The sequence below is a fragment of the Homo sapiens genome, chromosome 5, assembly GCF_000001405.40.
Source record: "Homo sapiens chromosome 5, GRCh38.p14 Primary Assembly".
Classification (NCBI taxonomy): Eukaryota; Metazoa; Chordata; class Mammalia; order Primates; family Hominidae; genus Homo; species Homo sapiens.
In genome coordinates this window covers 122,771,697-122,793,861 of record NC_000005.10, presented here as the reverse complement: position 1 = coordinate 122,793,861, position 22,165 = coordinate 122,771,697, and the positions used below count along the sequence as shown (strand labels likewise).

Genomic DNA, 22,165 nt, shown 5'->3' with positions numbered 1-22,165 from the left:
AGCTCACTGCAACCTCTGCTTCCCGGGTTCAAGCGATTCTTCTGCCTCAGCCTCCTGAGTAGCTGGGATTACAGGTGTCTGCCATCACGCCCAGCTAATTTTTTTTTGTATTTTTAGTAGAGATGGGGTTCACCATGTTGGCCAGGCTGGTCTCGAACTCCTGACCTCAGGTGATCCGCCCGCCTTGGCCTCCCAAAGTGCTGGGATTATAGGCGTGAGCCACTGTGCCTGGCCAAAACTAGGTCTTTTAAAAACCTTTTTATTGAAGTATAACACAAAAAAACTGTATATATCAAAAGTGTACAGCTAGATAGTTTCAAAAACTCAACATACCTATGCAAATGCACTTGGATCATGAAAGACCATTACCATCAAACCTAGAAGTTCCACTTATGCTCCCTCCCATTCTTTACCATGCGGGCTTCTACCAGTATGGATCAATTATTCCTATTTTTGCTCTTCATAAAATAGAGCCATATGGTACTTATTTTTTGTGTTTGGTTTTTGGCCCTAATGTTACTATGTATGTAAGATTCTTCCATATTGTTCTGTGTAGTAGTAGACCACTCATTATCATAAGTGTATAATATTTCATTGTGTGAATACCATACTTGAACCACTCTAGTGTTAATAAGCACTTAGATGTTTATCAATTTTTTACTATTAATACTATCAATAGTGCTGCTATGAATTTTCTAGTTCATCTTTTAGTGAACATGTAAACAAATGTTTGTATAAACCTAAGAATGGAATAGCTGGCTCACAGGGTAGATGAATGTTCAGCTTTAGAAGTTATTAGTAAACTATCTTCTAAAGTGGTTGTATAATTTTACACTCCCACCAGCAGCATATGAAACTTTGTTGCTCCAATTCTTTGCCAACATTTTGATATATTCCATTTTTTTCACTTTCGCTACTCTAGCATGTAGAGTATGTATCATTGTGTTCTGAATTTGCATTTCCATGATAAGTAATGATGGTGAGCAATTTTTCATATGTTTAAAGGGAATTTAGATATCCTTTTGTGAAGAGTCTCTTCAAATATTTTGTTCATTTTTCTATTGTTCCTATTGATTTGCAGAAGTTCCTTATATATTCTGGATAAAAATTCTTTGTCAGATATGTATTAATAATTCAGTCTCCCAATCTTTGGCTTACCTTTTTACTTTCTTAATGGTAGATTTTGCAATGGAATTTCTTAATTAAAGGCAAATTGTATCAATATTTTCTTGTATAGTTACTAAGCAATTTTTTTTTTTTTTTTGAGATGAAGTTTCACTCTTGTTGCCCAGGCTGGGGTGCAATGGCACGATCTCGGCTCACTGTAACCTCCACCTCCCGGGTTCAAGCGATTCTCCTGCCTCAGCCTCCCAAGTAGCCGGGACCACAGGCACCCGCCACCACACCCAGCTAATTTTTTTTGTATTTTTAGTAGAGAAGGGGTTTCACCATGTTGGTGAGGCTGATCTTGAAATCCTGACCTCAGGTGATCCACCCGCCTCAGCCTCCCAAAGTGTTGGGATTACAGGCGTGAGCCACTGCGCCCAACAGTTACTAAGCATTTTGTAGGATCAATAGTCTTTTGATGCCACTCCTAATTAATAAGATTTTCTCATCAGCTTTTTAAGTAAACTACCCTCAATGGCACAAAAATCTCTTTAGAACATTCAAAAGTAGTTTCAAACTCTTATAGGAAAATTTAAAGAGGCTTTCTTTTCTCTCGAGAACTAATTCTTAAAGTCCCAAATTCTCACAAAAGTGGGCCTCTCTTTAACTTAGCAACTTTCACTTGAAGGAATTTAAAGAACAAGTTTGTGTATTATTTCCTCTGAAAGTACTCCTGACAACCTTAACTGTAACTCTAGAAGAGTCTGATTGGGTGATTGGCCTATATACTTCCATAGAGTACCTACTTGTGTCATAATTTCTCTTACCACATTATAAGTATTATCTGTTTTATAGACTGCACGCTGTACATAGAAAGGAAGAGTATCTCATCTTGTTCACTACTCTTTACTCAGTATCTAGCAGTAAAACACTCAATGACTATCATTTAACTGAGTTTTAAGAAAATAATGATGGATATGTCAAAGAATTAACCACAAGTTTGTCAATCAGATGTTCTATATTACTATAAAAATTGAGGGCCAGGCGCGGTGGCTTACGCCTGTAATCCCAGCACTCTGGGAGGCCAAGGCAGGCAGATCACCTGAGGTCAGGAGTTCGAGACCAGCCTGACCAACATGGAAAAATCTCGTCTCTACTAAAAATACAACATTAGGCTGGGCGCAGTGGCCCATGCCTATAATCCCAGCACTTTGGGAGGCCAAGGCAGGCGTACCACTTGAGGTCAAGAGTTCGAGACCAGCCTGGCCAATGTGGTGAAACCCCGTCTCTACTAAAAATACAAAAATTAGCCGGGCGTGGTGGCAGGCGCCTGTAATCCCAGCTACCCAGGAGGCTGAGGCAGGAGAATCTTTGGAACCCGGGAGGCAGAGGCTGCAGTGAGCTGATACTGCACCACTACACTCCAGCCTGGGCGACAGGGCAAGACTCCATCTCAAAAAAAAAGTAGCCGGGCATGGTGGCGCATGTCTGTAATCCCAGCTATTCAGGAGGCTGAGGCAAGAGAATTGCTTGAACCTGGGAGGCAGAGGTTGTGGTGAGCCAAGATCATGCCATCGCACTCTAGCCTGGGCAACAAGAACAAAACTCCTCTCAAAAAAAAAAAAAAAAAAAAAATTGAAATAGCCTATAGTGCATCCACCTAAAAATATGGCAGAGTGGCTCCAATATCTATTAATGATAAAAAACTTTCAGTAAGCTAGTAATAGAGGATATCTTGATAAAGAATATCTACAAAAAGCCTACAACTAACATCATACTTAATGGTGAGAAATTTGAAGCTTCCCCAGTAAGATCAGGAACAAGACAAGGTTGTCCCCTTTTACCACTTCTTTTCAACATCATACTGAAAGTTCTAGCTGCATGCAAAAAGACAAGAAAAGGAAGTAAAAGGCAGAAAGACTGGGAAGAAGGAACAACTGCTTTTCTTGGTAGGTGACCCAATTCAGAAATCCAGATATTTTCCCAAAGTCCTACTTCTCTCTTACCACCCAAATCTTCCATAACTAGCCAATTCCCCTATCTTCTACCCTTTCTCTCACTTATATGTATTTCTGCTGCGACAACCCAAAACCATTTTTTTTCTGCCCAACCAAAGTGAACTGTCTTACTATCTTCCTCCCCCACTTCTGACATTAGGTTATAAATGACTGTGGCTTCCATCTTGGTTGGTCTTGTGCTTACCCTTTCTCTTTGACCACTCATTGGGAAAAATGGGTTGTCAGATGCTGAGCAGTCTATAGAGAGGTCACGTGGCAAGGATATGAAGGTTCCTCTTAATGGCCATGAGAGTGAGCTTAGAAGTGGATCCTCCTCGGCCAGGCACGGTGGCTCACGCCTGTAATCTCAGCACTTTGGGAGGCTGAGGTGGGTGGATCACCTGAGGTCAGAAGTTCAAGACCAGCCTGGCCAACATGGAGAAACCCCGTCTCTATTAAATATACAAAAAAATTAGCCAGGCATAGTGGCGCATACCTGTAGTCCCAGCTACTTGGGAGGCTGAAGCAGGAGGATAGCTTGAACCCAGGAGGCGGAGGTTGCAGTGAGCTGAGATCGCACCACTGCACTCCAACCTGGGCAACAGAGTAAGACTCTTTGAGAAAAAGAAAAAGTGGATCCTCCTCAGCTGTCAGATGACTGCAGCACTGGCTGAAATCCTGACTACAATTGTATGAGAGACCTTGGATGAGAATACCTAGCTAGCTAAGCTGCTCTTGGATTTCCAACCCTTAAAAACTGTGATATAATGTTTATTATTTTAAGTTGCTAATGCGTTACACAGCAACAGATAACTCATACAAGTGGTAAGCCAACTAGAGCCTCTCTCTCTGATTATAACTAAAGCCTATAGATAAAATTAAAAAGGTACTTGAGGAATCTAAAAAGTAAACAAATTCTGACAGATCATAAAAGGTAGAGAGTCTATTCCTTTCCTCTTTTCTCTAATAGTTTTGTCCTGAAAGTGGGCCTCAGTCACAGACCTGTGCAATGGTATAGAGACAGAGACAGCTAAACTCTGGTAGAAATCTCATCTTTATGGCCAGATGAATCAGACAAAGGGGTCATATGAGCTAAGGAGTATGTGTATATGAATAAATCCCTGTTTTTTTCCCCCTCTTTTCTCTTGCAGATTTGCTGAAAGCAAGTCCCAGGCATGGAGCTGCACTACAGGAGCTACAGCACGGGTAGATAAAACGCCAAAAGAAACCTCATCTTTCGGGCTAGAGGAAGAGTGTGTGTGTGTGTGTGTGTGTGTGTGTGTCCGTGTGTGTCTGTGTGTGTGTGTGTGTGTGTATGTGTGTGTGTGGTGGGGAAGGTGGGGCGGTCTTGTAAACTGAAGAATGTGGGGAAAATCCCAGAGAAAAAACTGGAGAAGGGGATCCCCTAATTCTGTGAATGAATGTGTGCAAATCTCAGGGTCAACCCTGAGCAGCACATGTGTAGCCAAACAGCACAGCAATTCTCACAGACTGGAAAACTCAATTGATACTTAGGTCACTGTCAAAGTCCCAGACTAAGACCTGAGTGGTGCCTGCATGAGACAGACCTGAAGAGGCAAAAGCTTTGAAAACTGAACTGAGATTAGAACCACTGCCCACAGAAGGCAAAACAGAAATTTGGAATCTGAACCTAAGCAAATTGATTGCCTGACCAAACAAAAAAATAAACAAAAAATCCCAATAGTCTCCAGAGGATTATAACAGGATGCAGAGCCTACACAATATAACATTTGGGATGTTTAAGATATAGTCCAAAATTATTTGTCATAAAGAGTCCAAAAAATGTGACCAAATAAGAGAAAAGACAGTCAACAGATGTCAACCTAGAAATAACCCAGATGTTGAATGCATTATTTTTTAAAACTTTTAAAAGCATTTCTAACTATGTTGTATGAAGTAAAGGTAAACATATTTGAAGTGAATGAAATGACAGCTCTCAGCAAAGAAACAGAAGCTGCTGCAAAAAAAGAAAGCTGCTACAAAAAGAAGAAAGAAAACAAAATGTTAGAACTGAAAAAAAAATTACCTGAAACAAAACATTCACATAAGCTCAATAACAGAATGAGCTGTTACCAAAGAGAATAATGGGTTGTTATTGCTATTGAAGAGCAAAGTGTTAGTGCAACTGAAAATAAATCCATAGAAAATATCTGATCTGAATAACAAAGATAACTTCTCCTGAGAAAAGAAGTTGAAAAAATGAACAAAGCCTCAAGGACCTATGGGACAATACCAAAATGTTCCAGAAGGAAGGATGAAAGATTGCTGCAGAAGTATTTAAAGAAACAGTAGCTGAAATTTCCAGAATTTGGTGAACGATATAAACTTACAGATTCAAGAAGCCTGGCAAACCTCATTGAGGATAAAATCAAAGAATACTATGCCTACACACATTAGATTCAAACTGCTGAAAATGGAAGCTATAGGGAAAAAATATAAGCAGCTAGAGAAAAACAACGTATTTTTACAGGGGAATACCAATTCAAACAACTGTGGATTTCTCATCAGAAACCACAAAGGCTACAAAACAGTGGAATAACACTCTGAAAGTGTTGAAAGACCTATTGATGCAGAAACCTATGAACAGTGAAAATATCCTCCAGGATTGAAGGTGAAATAAAGTTTTCAGATGAAGTACAAATTAAGAATATTCATCACCAACAGATCTGCTCAAAAAGAAATGCTGAAGGAAATTCTTTATGCTAAAAAGAAAAATTACAAGAGCAAACCTTGGGTAAAGGAAAAGCAACAAAAATGGTAAATATCTGAATAAATAAAACAGATTATTTTTTCCTCTTAAGTTCTTTAAAATAGACATGACTGTTGAAGTAAAGATTATAATACAGTATACAGCTATAATACATGTAAACTATTTGCAACATATAATGTATTCTTATCATAACTGAAAGTTCATATTGCTAATACCTTGGGTACTCGTAGTTTTAACACCAGAAACAAGGAAAGAAAAACAAACATGTTTATATAACAAAAACAACCTTTTCACCTCATAGTCCAGAGCCCAAGAGTGGACCGCACAATGGGAATGATGTGGGGCAGTGGGCAACTCAAGTAGAGGCTGCTGGGGAGCAGTCATATCACTATGGAGAGGCTATGAGGAATCCACTTCCTTCAGGTGTCCAACCATCAGCAGCTTGGAGTACCCCGCTCAACTGCCAGGGAGCTATCACTCTTTTTCTTTCTTTCTTTTTTTTTTGGGGGGGGACAGTCTTGCTCTGTCCCCCAGGCTGGTGTGCAGTGGTGCAATCTTGGCTCACTGCAACCTCTGCCTCTCAGGTTCAAGCAATTCTCCTACCTCAGCCTCCCAAATAGCTGGAACTACAGGCATGCACCACCATGTCTAGCTAATTTTTTTATTTTTTGTAGAGACAGGGCTTCACCATGTTGGCTAGGCTGGTCTCGAACTCCTGACCTCAAGTGATCCACCTGCTTTGGCCTCCCAAAGTGCTAGGATTACAGGCGTGAGCCACCACACCCAGCCAAGGGAGCTGTTAATCTTTAAAGGTTGCAAAAACCTACTTATCTTTGTCCTGCCTCTCCATGCCTCTTCCAGGTTCCTACTAAATAGGAAAAGAGCTATTTTCTAGTGGATGGAAAGGAGTGTGGACAGTGACTGCCAAATGAGAAAGTTATGGTGGAAAAGAATACTGATGGCTTCTCTGCCTGTGACACAGGTTCTTCATGATCAGAACTACAGTTGTCCAAGATATACAACTGAGTAGACATCTGTATTCTTAATAAATGAATATTCCTTTATTCCCCCACACCATCACCTGGTAGTATGCAGGATAAAAAATTTTAAGATTTTTTTGCTAGTATCTCTTCAATTAAAAAGTGGCACTTTGGATTCCAAACAAGATCAACAAGGACCACTAAAGCCTCCCTCCCCAACAGACTGACACTAAAAGTTCTGGATAGAATACAAAAAGCAACAATATAAAAATAAAAAATAGCAGGCCGACTAAGGAGGGAGCCAAAATGTAAAAAATGGCCCGTCCTTACAAGGATCCATTTTGCCATTTTTTTTTTTATTCTGTCTTAACTTTTCCTGAGGATGGTGCCAACTGCAAAACTATGCTATTGGTGTGCGCAGCAATGACTTCCAAGCGTAAAGGAGGGAAGGTAAATGAACCTATGTGGTTGTAAAGCTTGGCATTTTACGTGAAGTATAATATTAACTCAGGTATGTATATTTTAAGCTGCAGAGCAACCACTAAAATATATATTTAAATATAATGATATTAAACAAATACATAGTAGATAAAATGAAATACTAATAAACATAAAGTAATCCACAAGAAAGGAGAAAAGGAAAAAAACTGAAGAGAAAAACAGTAAGCAAATAAAACGGTAGATCTAATCTAGCCACATCAATAATTAAATAAATAGCCTAAATATACCCATTAGGAAACAGAGATGGCTAGACTGGATATAAAAATAACTACACACATGTTGCCTAAAAAAAACCTGCTTGAAAGACAAATTAGTTAAAAGTAAAACAATAAAAAAGATATGTCATGCAGACAATCTACAAGAAAGCTGTTGTGCTAAACATCAGAGGGTGTAAACTTCAGAATAAGAAATATTATCATCAATAAAAAGGGACATTATATGATAAAAGGGTCAATTTACCAAGAAGACAAAACAATCCTAAGCATCTATGTAACAAAATAGCTTCAAAATACATAAAGGAAAACCTAAGTGAACTAAAACAAGAAATAAAAATTAAAAATATACAATTATCTTGGAGACTTCAACACTTTTCTCTCAGTAATTGATAAAACAAGTAAATAGGTAACAGGGAAAGACAGAAAAATATCAACCAACTTGACCTAACATTTGTACGACACTCCACCCAACAAAACAGACTATATATACATTCTTTTCAAAAGTGCACACAGAACACTTAGCATAATAGAACATGTTCTGGGCCATAAAACAAACTTTAACAAATTAAAAAAATGGAAAGCATAAAACATTCTCTTACCATTACCAAATGAAACCAGAAATCAGTAATAGCTATCTGGAATATCCTCAAATTTTGGAAATTAAATAATGTACTTCTAAATAACTCATAGATCAAATAAGAGGTCACAAGAGAAACTAGAAATTATTTTAAATTGAATGAAAACAAAACCACATTTATCAAAATTTGTGGAATGCAGCCAAAGTCATGCTTAGAGGGAAATACATAGCTAAACAGCAAGAGTAGGGAGAAAAGTCTCAAATCAATGATCCAAGCTTCTACTTTAATAAGAAACTAGAAAACCAGGCTCGGTGCAGTGGCTCACACTTGTAATTCCAGCATTTTGGGAGGCCAAGGTAAGTGGCTCACTTGGGGCCAGGAGTTCAAGAGCAGCCTGGGCAACATAGTGTGACTCCCTGTCTCTACAAAAAAAATAAAAATAAAAATAAAAACTAAAATTAACAACAACAACAAAAAAAAACTAGAAGAGCAAATTAAACACAAAGCAAGCAGAAGAAAGAAAACAGAGCAGAAATCAATGAAATTCACAACAGAAACAACAGGAGGAAAAAAATCAATGAAAGCAAAAGGTAATTGTTTGAGAAGATCCTAAGAGGATATCAAACCTCTACCAAATCAAAATACATAAATAAACAGAAGATGTAAATTACCAGTATCAGGAAAAAAAAGAAAAGTTTACCATCCACAGACTCCACAAACATGTTAACAGGATGATAAGTACTACAAAAAACAGTATGCCCATAAATTTCACAACTGAGACTGAATGGATAAATTCCTTAAAAGATACATACTTCCAAAGTTCACCATGAAGCAGTCCTGTATTTAAAAAATTGAATTTGTCGTTAAAAGCCTTCCAACAAACAAAACTACAATTCAGATGACTTCATTAGTAAATTCTATCAACATTTAGGGAAGACGTAAGACTAATTCCACACAACCTCTTCAAGAATATGAAATAAGAGGAAACACTCGCCAAATCACTTAACGAAGCTAGCATTTCTCATATGAAAACCAAAGATACATGAAAAAGAAAACACAAATATCTGTCGTGAACACAGACACAAAAGCCTAAACAAAATCTAGCAAATTGCATCCAGCAATATATAAAAAGGATAAATACATTATGATTGTGTGGGGTTTATCCCAAGAATGCAACGCTGATTCAACTTTTTTGAATCAGTTTGAAAATCATTCTGAGGGTGGGGCTTAAAAAAAAAGAAAAAAAAATCAATATAATCTAACTTATCAATAAACTAAAGAAGAAAACTATATGATTATCATAATGAATGCAGAAAAAGCATTTGTCAAAATTAACATCCGTTCATGGATAAAAACTCAGAAAACTAGAAACAGAGGAGAACTTCATTTGATTAAGCTCATTAAAAAAAACAAAAAACCTTACAGATAACATCTTATATCCTGAGATCATGAAAAAGGAAAGAATATTCACTATCACCACTTTTATTCAATATTATACTGGTGGTCCTACCCAGCCATTAGGACAAGAGAAAAAAAAAAAAGGTATAAAGACTGAGAGAAGGAAATAAAACTCCAATCACAAACAATATGATTATCTACACAGAAAATCATCGGACTCTACAAAAACCTACTAAACCTAGTAAGTGTTTAGAACAGTTGCTATCATACAGGGTCAACATGCAACCAAAGGGGAAATATAAAAAGTAATAAAAGAAATAAAAGCACTAAAAACTATGAAATACTCAGCATACAGATCTAGCACATAACAAAATATGTGCTAGATCTGTATGCTGAAAGCTACAAACATTAGTGAAAGAAAATCAAGATCTAACTAAATAAATAGAGAGATTATGCTTATAGCTTGAAGGCTCAATATTGTTAATGGGTTAATTCTCCTGAAACTAATTTCTGAATTCAACACAATCCCAATTAAAATCTCAGCAGGATTTTTCAGTAGAAATCAACAAATTGATTCTAAAATTATAAGAAAAAGCAAAAGAACTAGAATAGCCAAGGCAATTTTTAAAATAACAAAGTTAGAGGAGTCATTCGACTTGATTTCAAGATTCAGATTAAATAATCAAGACAGTGTAGACTGGGAAAGGATTCTCAATAGATCAATGAAACAAAACAGAAATAGGTCAACCCACATATATATGGTCAGTTCATTTCTGAAAAAGACAGCCCAATAAAGAAAGGCTAGACTTTCAACAAATGGTGCTGGAATAACTAAGTATCTGTATTTTAAAAAAAGAATGTCAACCCATATCTCACACAAAAATTAACTCAACATGAATCCTAAATGTACAATGTAAAATTCCAAATTCTTTTGGAAGAAACTATAAGCAAAATCTTTGTGACCATGGGTTAAAGTTAGCAAAGGATTTCATATATGTGACATCTAAAATACTATCAATAAAAAAAGAAAAGATAGCTTTCCTTTAAATGTTAATGTTAAACATCTGCTCTGAGAAAGATACGGTTAATCAAACAAAAAAACAAGTCACTGGGCAGGCGCGGTGGCTCACGCCTATAATCCCAGCAGTCTGGGAGGCCGAGATGGGTGGATCACGAGGTCAAGAGATCGAGACCATCCTGGCTAACATTATGAAACCTTGTCTCTGCTAAAAATACAAAAAAAAAAAAAAATTAGCTGGGCATGGTGGCACGTGTGTGTAGTCCCAGCTATTCAGGAGGTTGAGGCAGGAGAATCGCTTGAACTGGGGAGGTGGAGGTTGCAGTGAGCCGAGATCACGCCACTGCACTCCAACCTAGTGACAGAGCGAGACTCCATCTCAACAAAAACAAAAAACAAAAACAAAGAAACAAAACAAAAAACACAAGTCACCGACTGGGAAAAAAAATATTCACAACATAAATAATTCTCAAAATTCAATATTTTAAATGAGCAAAACAGGTCAGGTGCAATAGCTCACGCCTGTAATCCCAACACTTTGGGAGGCCAAGGCAGGCAGATCACTTCAGGTCAGGAGTTCAAGACCAGCCTGGCTAACATGGCGAAACCCTATCTCTACTAAAAATACAAAAATTAGCTGGGCATGGTGGTGGGCACCTGTAATCCCAGCTACTAGGGAGGCTGAGGCAGGAGAATCGCTTGAACTGGGGAGGTGGAGGTTGCAGTGAGCAGAGATTGTGCCAACTGCTCTCTAGCCTGGGCAGCAGAGTGAGACTCCATCTCAAATAAAATAAAATAGGCCGGGCGTGATGGCTCACGCCTGTAATCTCAGCACTTTGGGAGGCTGAGAAGGGCGAACTGCCTGAGGTTAGGAGTTCGAGAACAACCTGGATAACATGGTGAAACCTTGTCTCTACTAAAAATACAAAAATTAGCTGGGCGTGGGGGTAGGTGCCTGTAATCCCAGCTATTCAGGAGGCCGAGGCAGGAGAATCTTTTGAACCCGGGAGGTGGAGGTTGCAGTGAACCGAGATCACACCACCGCACTCCAAGCCTGGGCAACAGAGCAAGACTCTGTCTCAAATAAAATAAAATAAAAAAATAAGCAAAAGATGTAAAAGGACACATAACCAAAAAAGATAATATTCAGATGGTATGTACATAAAAAGATACTCAGCAACATTAGGCATTAGTGAATATATATTAAAGGGATGAGGTAACACTAAACACCTCTTAGAATGGCTAAAAATCAGTGTTGTGCTGGTAAATGTTTAGCAATCAGATCTGCAGAGGAGAAGATCCAGATTTTTAGCTTTTGCTGATTTCTGTGGTAGAGTTGCGAAGACACGTACCTTCCACCATACAGACACAACAGACATAATTAATCTCAAGAGCATAGGTAATAGTGAAATGTAGTAAAGGAATTAGAAAGCAAGGAGCTTTATATATTTATTATTTTTACATATTTATAACATTAATAAAAATTTTATAAAATTATGTATAATCTTTACATAGGTATATATTTAATTTTAAATTCATTGCATTTAATTTTTAATAATGGCTGTTTATTAACTAGTTCATAAAATTCCTAAAAATGTAACATACAGTTCTTGCTAGCAAGACCAGCCTTCAGCTCACCACTGCCTAAAATTAAAATTGATAATAACAAGTGCTGACAAGGATATGGAAAAACTGTCATTCTTAGTCATTATTGATGCAATGCAAAATGGTACAGCCACTTTTGAAAATAGTTTGGCAGTTTATTTAAAATTAAGCTTATATTTACCACACAACCCAGCCACCCTACTTTGTAGGTATGTACGCTGCAAAACTGAAAACTCATGCTCACACAAAAGCCTGTAAATACATGTTTATATTGCTTTATTCATAAATACCCCAAACTGGAAACAACTGAAATGTCCTTCAGCTGATCAACAAACTGTTACATACAAACAATGGAATACTAAATCAATAATAAACAAGTCATTAACAATTGATACATAGAACAAACTTAATGACTCTCAAATGCTTTATGTTAAGTTAAAGAAAGTCAAACTCTAAAAGTTTCATAATCTATGATTCCACCTATATGACATTCTAGAAAAGACAAAACTTTAGGCAGAAAACAGATCAGTGGTTGCCAGAGGCTGGGAAGAGGCTAAGAAAATCTCTTCAAGAAAAGCTGAGCATCCCTGTCGCAAGCAACTTCATAAAATAACTTATTTTTATAGGATCTAAAAATAATTCATTCAAAACTCCTTAAATTTAATGGTTTCAAGAGAAAGTGGTCAACTTGAATCACGCTTCTTCATAAATCTCTTTCTACTAATTTTCCATGCTTAATGCATTTAAATACCTGTTCACAAATTTTTCCCTCTGAAACATAGATAATTCGTAATGAAATTTTCAAAAAATTCACACATTTAAAGTTGGAGGCCCAAGGATTAGAAAACAGAATTAAGAAAACAAGGCTGTGCGTGGTGGCTCAGGCCTGTAATCCCAGCACTCTAGGGGGCCGAGGTGGACAGATCACAAGGTCAGGAGTTCGAGACCTGCTTGGTCAACATGGTGAAACCTCGTCTCCACTAAAAATACAAAAATTAGCCGGGCATGGTGGCGTGCACCTGTAATCCCAGCTACGTGGAAGGCTGAGGCAGGAGAATCGCTTGAACCTGGGAGGCAGAGGCTGCAGTGAGCTGAGGTTGCGCCACTGCACTCCAGCCTGGGACAGCGCAAGACTCTGTCTCAAAAAAAAAAAAAGAAAAGAAAAGAAAAGAAAACAAGTTATATATACTTTTATTACCTGTTATGTTAGAACAGCAGATACTAAACTTGCTCGCAGTTCCTCTTTATCAAAAGTGTCTCCTGTCTTATTCTACTTTCTCTTGATAATTCTCAACCACTTTCAGGGCCTCAAAGATCATCTCTATGCAATCAAGTCACCCCAGTCTTCTATACTATTTCTATTTTAATTACACATATATCACCTGTTTCTGTACCTTGTGCAGATTTTTAATTACACATATATCACCTGGTATGGCAGGTATTTATTCACACGATTGTATTTATTATATTGACTTCTGTTGGTTCATACACTCCACTAGAGGAAGACTAGATTTCCACAAAGATCCCGGTTTAGTGTTTTCAATAAGTTTAAGATAGACTCCCAAAGCTACATCTCTAGCCCATCCAGCAGTCCTAGCTGCCTAATGCTATCTTCACTGATATAACATAACCTCAAGTGAAATAAACTTATTATTCCCTCCCCTAAGAATCATCTGAAGGGAGGCATTATAAGACTTCTGAATATTATCTTTTAATCTGTTATTACATAAGTTCTCTTTTCTCCTTTATTATTTGCACTTTCTTTCTTTAGGCCTTTAACCTCAGACTGTTTAAAGTGCCTCCAACTTGAAACAACACAAACTGGGGCCTGTAAGGGGAGGACAGGAGAGCATTAGGGAAAAGACCTAATGCATGCTGGGCTTAATACCTAGGTGATGGGTTGATAGGAGCAGCAAACCACCATGGCACACATTTACCTATTAACAAACCTGCGAATCCTCCACATGTACCCCAGAACTTGAAAAAATAAAATAATTTTTTAAAAAAGTGCCTCCAACTCATCCCATTTTGGGAAACCAGTCTGGCAACTCTTCAAATGATTAAACATGGAGTTACCACATAACCCAGCAATTCCACTTGTACACGAATGTTAACGGCATTATTCACAATAGCTGAATACTCATGGTCATATTCATAACCACCTAAATGTCCATCAACAAATGGTTAAACAAACTGTGGTACAGCCATACTATAGAATATTATTTGGTCATAAAAAGGAATGAAGTATTGATACGTGCTACAGACCTAGAAACCATTGTACTAAAGGAAAAAAGCCCGTCACAAAAGACCATGTATTATACGATCCATTCATATAAAGTCTAGAATAGGGAAATCTAGAGACAGAAAGTAGATTAGTGGTTGCTTACAGTTGAGGGCAGAGGGGATGAGGGAATTAAGGCGTGGGATGATAGCTAAAGGGTACAGGGTATCTTTCTGAGGTGATGAAAACGCTCTAAAACTGAGGTGATGTTGGGCATATCTGTGAATACACTAGAAACCATTAAATTGTACATACTAAATGGGTAAATTATATGATATATAAATCATATCTCAACACAGATGTTTTTAAAAAAGAACCAGGTAGTTAATATAAATTCCTGACCTTTTTTTTAAAACGTACTATCTACTACTCCATGCAAAACTGTATTTAAAGGTCAAGCACCATTAAGCTTAGGGTTGCACCATTTAAGGAATAAAACAGTATTCATAAACAAGTTAAAGCCTTGCCTCTCAGGTACCATAGAAGAACAGGCTTTTGCCAGATTTTTTTCCCTTCTCATTCCCTTCTCTGTCTCCATCCCTTTTTTGTTTCACAGTCACAAAAGAAACATACAGTAGGAGTTTGAAATGTTTTATTTACTGATATAGCTTTATGTGGCTGTTATTAATTTTGAAAGGGGAGGAGTTTAATATTGGGTTAAAAAATATACACATAAGAAAAAAATTCTCAACATCACTAATCATCAAGGAAATGCAAATCAAAACCACAATAAGATATTATCTGACTGCAGTCAGAATAGCTATTAAAAAGTCAAAAAATAGGGCATGGTGGTGCACGCCTGTAGTCCCAGCTACTCAGGAGGCTGAGGCAGGAGAACTGCTTGAACCTGGGAGGTGGAGACTGCAGTGAGCCAAGATCAAACCACTGCACTCCACCCTGGGTGACAGAGCGAGACTCTGTCTCAAAAAAATAAAAACAAAAATAAATAAAAAGTCAAAAAATAACAAATGCTAGCAAAGATGTGGAGAAAGGAGTTATCTTATACACTGCTGCTGATGGGAACGTAATTAGTATAGCCATTATGGAAAACAGTATGGAGTTTACTCAGAAAACTGAAAATACAACTACCGGATGATTCAGCAATCCCACTACTGGGTAAATATCCAAAGGAAAGGAAATAAATATGTTGGCGATATCTGTGCCCCCATGTTTACTGCAGCACTATTCACAATAGACAAGATTTGGAAGCAATCTAGATATCCACCAACAGATGAATGAATCAAGAGCATGTGGTATATATGCATGATGGAATACTATTCAACTATAAAAAGGAATGAAATCCTGTCATTTGCAACAACATGGATGAGCTTGGAGGACATTATGTTAAGTAAAATAAGCCAGGCACAGAAAGACAAATACTGCATGTTCCTACTCATATGTAAAAGTTAAAAAAGTTCATCTAACAGAAGTAGAAAGTAGACTAGTGATTACAAGAGTCTGGGAAGAGGCCAATAGTCAAAAATGGGTTAACATACAATATTACAGCCAAATAGGAGGAATAAATTCTAGTGTTCTAGAACACCATACATTGACTAAAATTAACAATTTATTGTATATTTTCAAAGGGCTAGATGAGCAGATTTTGAATGTTCCAACACAAAGAACTGATAAACGTTTGAGGTAATGGATAAGCTAATTATCCTGATTTGATCATTACACATTGTACACAGGTACTGAAACATCACACTGTACTCCATAAGTATGTACATTATGTGTCAATTAAAAATAATAAAAGTAAAAATATACACATAAGTGTACAGATATAGTAATGCATAGGCATTACAAGCTTAACAATTATGCCATTGAAGCTTTCTATAATTTGATTTTCACTTAAATTTCAATTGATCCCCCTGCAAATTAAATGCTCTTAAATGAAAAAGTTCCTATATGAATAATATAATAAACTCTGACTTACTTTAAGTTAAAAGACATTAATTTATATGACTGACTTTTGATTTTATGGTTTAAGTAGTATATATTTTCTTAGGTAATAACTATTCAAGCCTGATGATCTATATCAGAATCACGTAGGGCCTTGCAACTCAATGTTGTCTATGGACCAGAAGCACTGATATCAGGAAAGCGTGTTAAAAATGCAGAATACTGGGTTCTACCCAGTCCTACAGAATCCGAATTTGCACTTCAACAAGATCCCTATTTACAAAGATTGCAAAACACGGATCTAGAACACTTATTAAACATGAAGTTTCCAGTGAGGCACAGGCATCTGCATTTTAAAGATGAATACTGTGGATACTCCAGCACACCACAGTTTGAGAAGCACTGTTTAAAAGAAAAGTGAAGTACTGAAAGAACATTCCTTTAAAGCAGTTTTGGTATACTAGGAAATACTGCTATATATCCTTCCCAAATTTAAAAAGAAAAAAAAAATCTGACTTTACAAATCTCATAGCCACACCACCTTCTGAAAATTAGTAACCTAAATGAGTACATTAAATAAGGTGCTGAGATGAATAATCAAAAACAAATGTGTTTACAACTTTTACAGTGCGTTAACCAAGATAAATTATTCATGATCAAACTTTGCAGACTTACTGAAAAAAGGTTGTAACACTCTGTTTTTTAAAGTTTTATTCACATGGGAAATACAGATTATAGTTCTTTCTACTCAACTCTAAACGACCCCCAACAGAATGCTTAGCCTTCACAGTATTCTAGTTCACACTAGGGTCAATCAAGTTTGTTCTGATTCTCGCTGGTAGAAAAACTGTATCCTCCAAAAGGAATACAGGTCTTAGGATCCTGCAGACACTTTCAACACATGTACATGTTAAAGTAGCTGTATAGTAAGTAGAAAGGGCTAAAAGGATACTAATCCCCGAAAATATATTCTGCAAGATAATTTTTATTAATTTTAGGAGGTGCTGGTTTTAACTCAGGCAAACATTTACTATTAGGTTTGTGCAAAAGTAATTGCGGCTTTTGGCTATTAAAAGGGATGGCAAAAACCACAATTACTTTTGCACCAACCTAATAAATACACATGTTCAAGATTTTGTGAGAGACACAAAGATGATCAGGAAATTAACACTAAGCTGCAGAAAACCTATAACCTGAGGGGAGGTGGGGTTTGGGTGGGACACTGCATATACAATTAGCAGAATGTGATCAGTGCTGAAAACTGTTTCCGGGTTTCCAGTTTCAGGTAACTGAATTTCAGATAATGGATATTTTACAGTAATTTCCAATTGATTTGGTGCAGAGTTAAACAAGCCAAGAAAGCTTATTGAAAATACTTTAAAAGCAAGTATAGCCCACAGTAAACAATCCTCTGGGAAATTTCATACATTTTAATTCACATACACACACTTAAAATTAGGCTGTGAGGTGTGGGTGCTCTCATCAAACGCAAAGCAATTCAAATGGAACTGGATATAAGGAGGGCCCAATACAGTTAAGTTTATAGAGGGTGCTTCCTTTGACAAAAACAGGAACACACAGCTTCAGAGATCGCTGATCAAGCGAGAAAAGAGGAAAAAGGAGTGGAGATCTGTTTCTATTTCTCCCTTGGTAACTTCGAAAACACACACACACACAACAGCAGTTTCCTGGACTAATCCTGCCTTCAGCTTTACATTTTATAAATACTATGACCTTTTAAAAGTCTAGGAACTAAAGACAAACAAAAAGAGGCAAATGCATTTACCTATTTAACAGTCCAAATCAGAAGCAGCTCCCTCAAGAGGAACCAGCAGTCCGTGAAGGGCCATTCCTGGGAAAGTGCACCCATTCGTTCCCCACAGACCCTCGGCCCCTCAGCGCTCACTTCATTGCGCTCCCCTGGCAGCGGCACACCCTCCCTCTGGAAAGGAAAAGCGAGCACCCCTTCAAAAGAGCTCGGTGGAGGTTTACTGGGATGCAGAGCAAGCCCTTCTCCGGCTTGAAGAGGAGGACGTGCAAGAGACACCGAGGAAGGCCAGCTGAGCTGGGAAAGCGCCGCTGCAATGCTCGGTTCGGTTCTGGCCCCTCTGAGGATTAGGTCGGCACCCGCGGGCCGCAGGCTGCTCTCCTGAGGAGGCCCTGCGCTCAGCCCAAGCACATCCCTCTGACAGGCACCGGAGGTGGGGCTCGCGTCACAGGTGTCACCCCAAGACGGTCCTTGCAAACACGGGGGATGGGGAGGGACAAGTCGGGGCAGGGGAAAGGTGAGACGCGCGGCAGCTACGCAGCGCAGCACCCGCAGCGACGCGGTCTCACCTCTAGGGTGGAGACAGTGCTGGTGAACAGGTCCTCTCCGTCCTCCAGATCCTCAAAGTCGGTGGGCTTCCCGTCCCCCAGCGGAGGAGGTTCCCTCTCGGCCGCCATCTTCGCTCACCCGAACGACTGCGCGAGCTGGGCCTCGCGGACCCGTCACGTGAGCACGCACGGCTGGGCCCGCGCCGACCCGCCAGCCTCCCCGCCCCCGGCCGGCCTCTCAAGGCCCCGCCCAGCCGCGCTCGGCCCCGCCCCCGGCCTCTTGACGGCGCCCACCCGGAGGGCGCTGCGCTCGCCCCGCCCCTTTGTCCCGCCTCCTCCCAGAAAGTCTGGGACGTGGCCCTCTTTTCGCCACCGACTTGCTGACCCGACTTATGTGGCAGAATCTTGGACTTTATTACCACATCACCTTCTTGGCGGGACTAGGCTAAATAATTTCTGTTGGCACTACCAGTTTTTAAATCTTCTGTAGGAAGTGGTAGAGCCTGGGCACCAGTCTCTGGGCTTGGATTGCACGCAGGCTGAGGCGAGATGGAGTATTGGTGAGCGAGAGACACGTACTGTCTCTTAGATCTCTCTAGAACTGTCCAATAGAATTTTCTGACATGATGGAAATGTTCCCTATCTGTGCTGTCCAATACAGTAGCTACTGGCAACCTGTGACCCCTGAACACTTGAAATGTGGCCGGTGTGTGGAACTGAGTTTTAAAATTTTATTTAATTTTAATTAATTTAAATCTAATTAGCCACATGTGGCCAGTGGTTACCTATTTAGTGATTGCAGCTCTAGATAACGAAAGGACTCTGAATAATTTCTCGTCTGCGATTCACTCCAATTTTATCATAAGCCACATAATTCTTTTCTCAATAAGTCAAAAGGTCTAGAAAAATGATAGGAAAATCAATGGATGATTCTTAAGAGCACATAGTCACATTCCCTGGCCTGCAAATCCACCACCTTATGGAAAGTCTGGAGTCTGTCATGGATCAAAAACTTCAACCTCTTATGAAAGCTCCCAGCTTGACTTGAGGTGATTATTATACACATCCTTAATTTTTACATGTGTCTCTATTTATTGCTTACTACTTTCTGTCTTATGCTATGGTCATATATATTCCCAGCTTATCTTTTTTAGTGGACACCTGAAATAGGTGAAATATAGGTCCTGATGCTTGTTACAGAGACCCACATTAAAAGTGGTTTGAAAAATGAACAAGTTTAATTAATTGTCCCTTATGTAGGACTAGGGCTGGTGTGAAGGTTCTATGAGATCATTCAGGGACATGGGCCCCTTCTGTTGTTCTGCCCTCCCTAGGATGTAGTCTCTTCCTCATGGTTCAAGTCAGCTCACCACCGCAGTTACATCACATTCCAGCCAGCAGAAAAAGAGTGAAAGGAAAACAATAATGTCACCTTCCTTTTAAGGGCACAGTTCAGAAGTTGCACACACCACTTTTGTCCACATTCCTTTGACCAGCTCGTTAGCTACATGGCCATGTCTAGCTACAGAAGACATTAGGAAATGAAGTTGTTATTTCTACCGCTAAAAATTAGGGGTTCACTTACCCTAGAAGAAAGTAGGGAACTAGTGGTCTCTGCTAGTGCATTCATGGTTTTCATGGTAGCATACCTGAACTTTCTTCTCAGCTGTGAGTTTTCTCCACCTCAGGGAGGGAATACATCACCTAGGTTTAAACCAAATACAGCATCAACTCCTTAGTCTCAGTGATTTGTGGGGGATCAGAATCAAGTGCCTTTTCCCTAAACTCTCAGAAGCTTTGATTGTCTTTCTTTCCTTAGTCAGCCTAAACTCTATGAGCCAGAACTGCAATAATTGTCTTGCTATTTTTCTCAGCTCATCTTCTTCCTTGGTTCCTTGATTTTCTGTTTCATCTTCTCTGAAATCCCAAATTCAGCCATCAATTTCTCTAATCTTATATCCAGATTGCTAAAGTATTTGCATAATGAATCCCAACCTCAGATTGAAGATCCTATAAGTCCATTATTTCCAATTCTGAGTTCTACACTGCCTAAATATCATTAGTTGTTTCGTTTCCAATTCCTTCAACTATTCTTCCCAGCATAGGTGCTAAAAAGTCATTTTCTCCTCAAGTATACCACCATCTTTTTCTCTTCATTTTCATCAAATGATTTAGCCTCCTCATTCAATGACAAAATAAAATCACTGAGTGAATCACTTCACTTTCAAGTACGATTGAAATTATCTTCTCTTTGTGCTCCCACCAGTTGTTGTGTATATTTTAACACCTACCATGTTGTGCTGTGGTCACAGACACTGTTCTATCACCCCAATGGACTGAAGGATCGTTGATGTCAGGGAGCATTCATTATTTGAGGATGGATCCTGAGTAGCCAGCCCTGTATAAGTTATTTATTGCAGTAAAACAAATTACATAAACACATAGCAGCTTGTAACCATAAATATTTATTTTCTCATGGTTTTTGTGGATCAAGAATCCTCACAGTTCAAGTCAGCTCACCACAACAATTACACTGCATTCCAGCCAGCAGAAAAGGAGTCAAAGGGAAACATGATGTTACCTTCCTTTTAAGGGCACATTCCAGAAGTTGCACACACCACTTACGTCCACATCCCTTTGACCAGCTCATTAGTTATACAACTTAACTGGGTGCCCCTGACTCAGGGTCTCTCAGAAGGCTGCAATCAAGGTATTGACCAGGTAGGCAGTCATCTCAAGACTCAACTGGAGAGGACCTGCTTCCTCTCACTAGCAAGCTCACTAGCATAGCTGGTGGCAGGCCTCAAGTTATTTCTGGCTATTGGCCTGAAACCTGAGTTCCTTGCCATATAAGCCTCTTCGTAAGGCTTCCTACACAACATGTCAGCTTGCTTCTCCCAGAGCAAAGACCTTTGAGAAAGACAGAAGGAGACAGCTCTAAGAGAGGGTAAGAGGGAGTTAATAAGAAAAGAAGCCAGAGTGTTTTTGTAACCTAATCTCATAAGTAACATCTCTTTACTTTAGCTGTATTCTATTCATTGGAAGCCCACACTCAAAGGAAGGAGTAAAACAAGAGTGTGAATAACAGGAGGCAGGGTTTTGGGGGGACATTTTAAAAGTTGCCACAAGGCCCCATAGTGCATTGCATTCATTAAGATAGACACCCTATTAACACCCTCAATGAAAGAATGAATGAAATGAAGCTCAGAAGAGCGAGCTAAGTGGAAGATATAGATTTGGTAGCTGGAGCCACTGTTACATGAGAAGGCCCAGGTAGTCTGGGAATCACAACCCTAAGGATGATTTACAGTTGTAGACCTGTAATCTCAGGTACTTGAGAGGCTGAAGCAGGAGGATCCCTTGAATCCAGGAGTTTGAGACCAGGCTGGGTAACACAGAGAGACCCTGTCTCAAAAAAAAAAAAAAAAGACAGAGAAAGAAGGAAGGAAGGTAAGAAGCAAGGAAGGAAGGAAGGAGAAAGATCATAAATAAACCTGAAGAGCAGCAGTCAGAGAGATAGGAAGCAATCTATGAGA

The 22,165-nt window shown here is 38.9% G+C and overlaps 1 protein-coding gene and 1 long non-coding RNA gene across 3 annotated transcripts in view, besides 5 other annotated features; one reads left to right on the top strand and one right to left on the bottom strand.

Annotated features, from left to right (window-relative positions):
- LOC105379154 (uncharacterized) overlaps window positions 1–5,925 on the top strand; it is a 57,613-nt gene extending 51,688 nt beyond the window's left edge. The window contains exon 2 of the long non-coding RNA XR_007058917.1: window positions 4,256–5,925. This is a non-coding gene — a long non-coding RNA (uncharacterized LOC105379154). The remainder of the gene's footprint in view (window positions 1–4,255) is intronic.
- SNX2 (sorting nexin 2) overlaps window positions 1–18,866 on the bottom strand; it is a 59,548-nt gene extending 40,682 nt beyond the window's left edge. The window contains exon 1 of one of the 2 annotated variants that reach the window (NM_001278199.1): window positions 18,100–18,866. Coding sequence is in view for 1 of the 2 variants with exons in the window: in NM_003100.4 (NP_003091.2) it covers window positions 18,651–18,758 (108 nt within the window). In the remaining variant the exon portion in view is untranslated. The remainder of the gene's footprint in view (window positions 1–18,099) is intronic. The other variant, NM_003100.4, reaches the window with a different exon arrangement.
- Window positions 18,109–18,228: an enhancer, noted in NCBI's record as "active region_23001". NCBI's record gives its function as "activates an Ori minimal core promoter by ATAC-STARR-seq in GM12878 lymphoblastoid cells {active_cell/tissue: GM12878}" and the evidence as "EXISTENCE:reporter gene assay evidence [ECO:0000049][PMID:35858748]".
- Window positions 18,279–18,328: an enhancer, noted in NCBI's record as "active region_23000". NCBI's record gives its function as "activates an Ori minimal core promoter by ATAC-STARR-seq in GM12878 lymphoblastoid cells {active_cell/tissue: GM12878}" and the evidence as "EXISTENCE:reporter gene assay evidence [ECO:0000049][PMID:35858748]".
- Window positions 18,359–18,408: an enhancer, noted in NCBI's record as "active region_22999". NCBI's record gives its function as "activates an Ori minimal core promoter by ATAC-STARR-seq in GM12878 lymphoblastoid cells {active_cell/tissue: GM12878}" and the evidence as "EXISTENCE:reporter gene assay evidence [ECO:0000049][PMID:35858748]".
- Window positions 18,499–18,628: an enhancer, noted in NCBI's record as "active region_22998". NCBI's record gives its function as "activates an Ori minimal core promoter by ATAC-STARR-seq in GM12878 lymphoblastoid cells {active_cell/tissue: GM12878}" and the evidence as "EXISTENCE:reporter gene assay evidence [ECO:0000049][PMID:35858748]".
- Window positions 18,789–18,978: a silencer, noted in NCBI's record as "silent region_16269". NCBI's record gives its function as "represses an Ori minimal core promoter by ATAC-STARR-seq in GM12878 lymphoblastoid cells {active_cell/tissue: GM12878}" and the evidence as "EXISTENCE:reporter gene assay evidence [ECO:0000049][PMID:35858748]".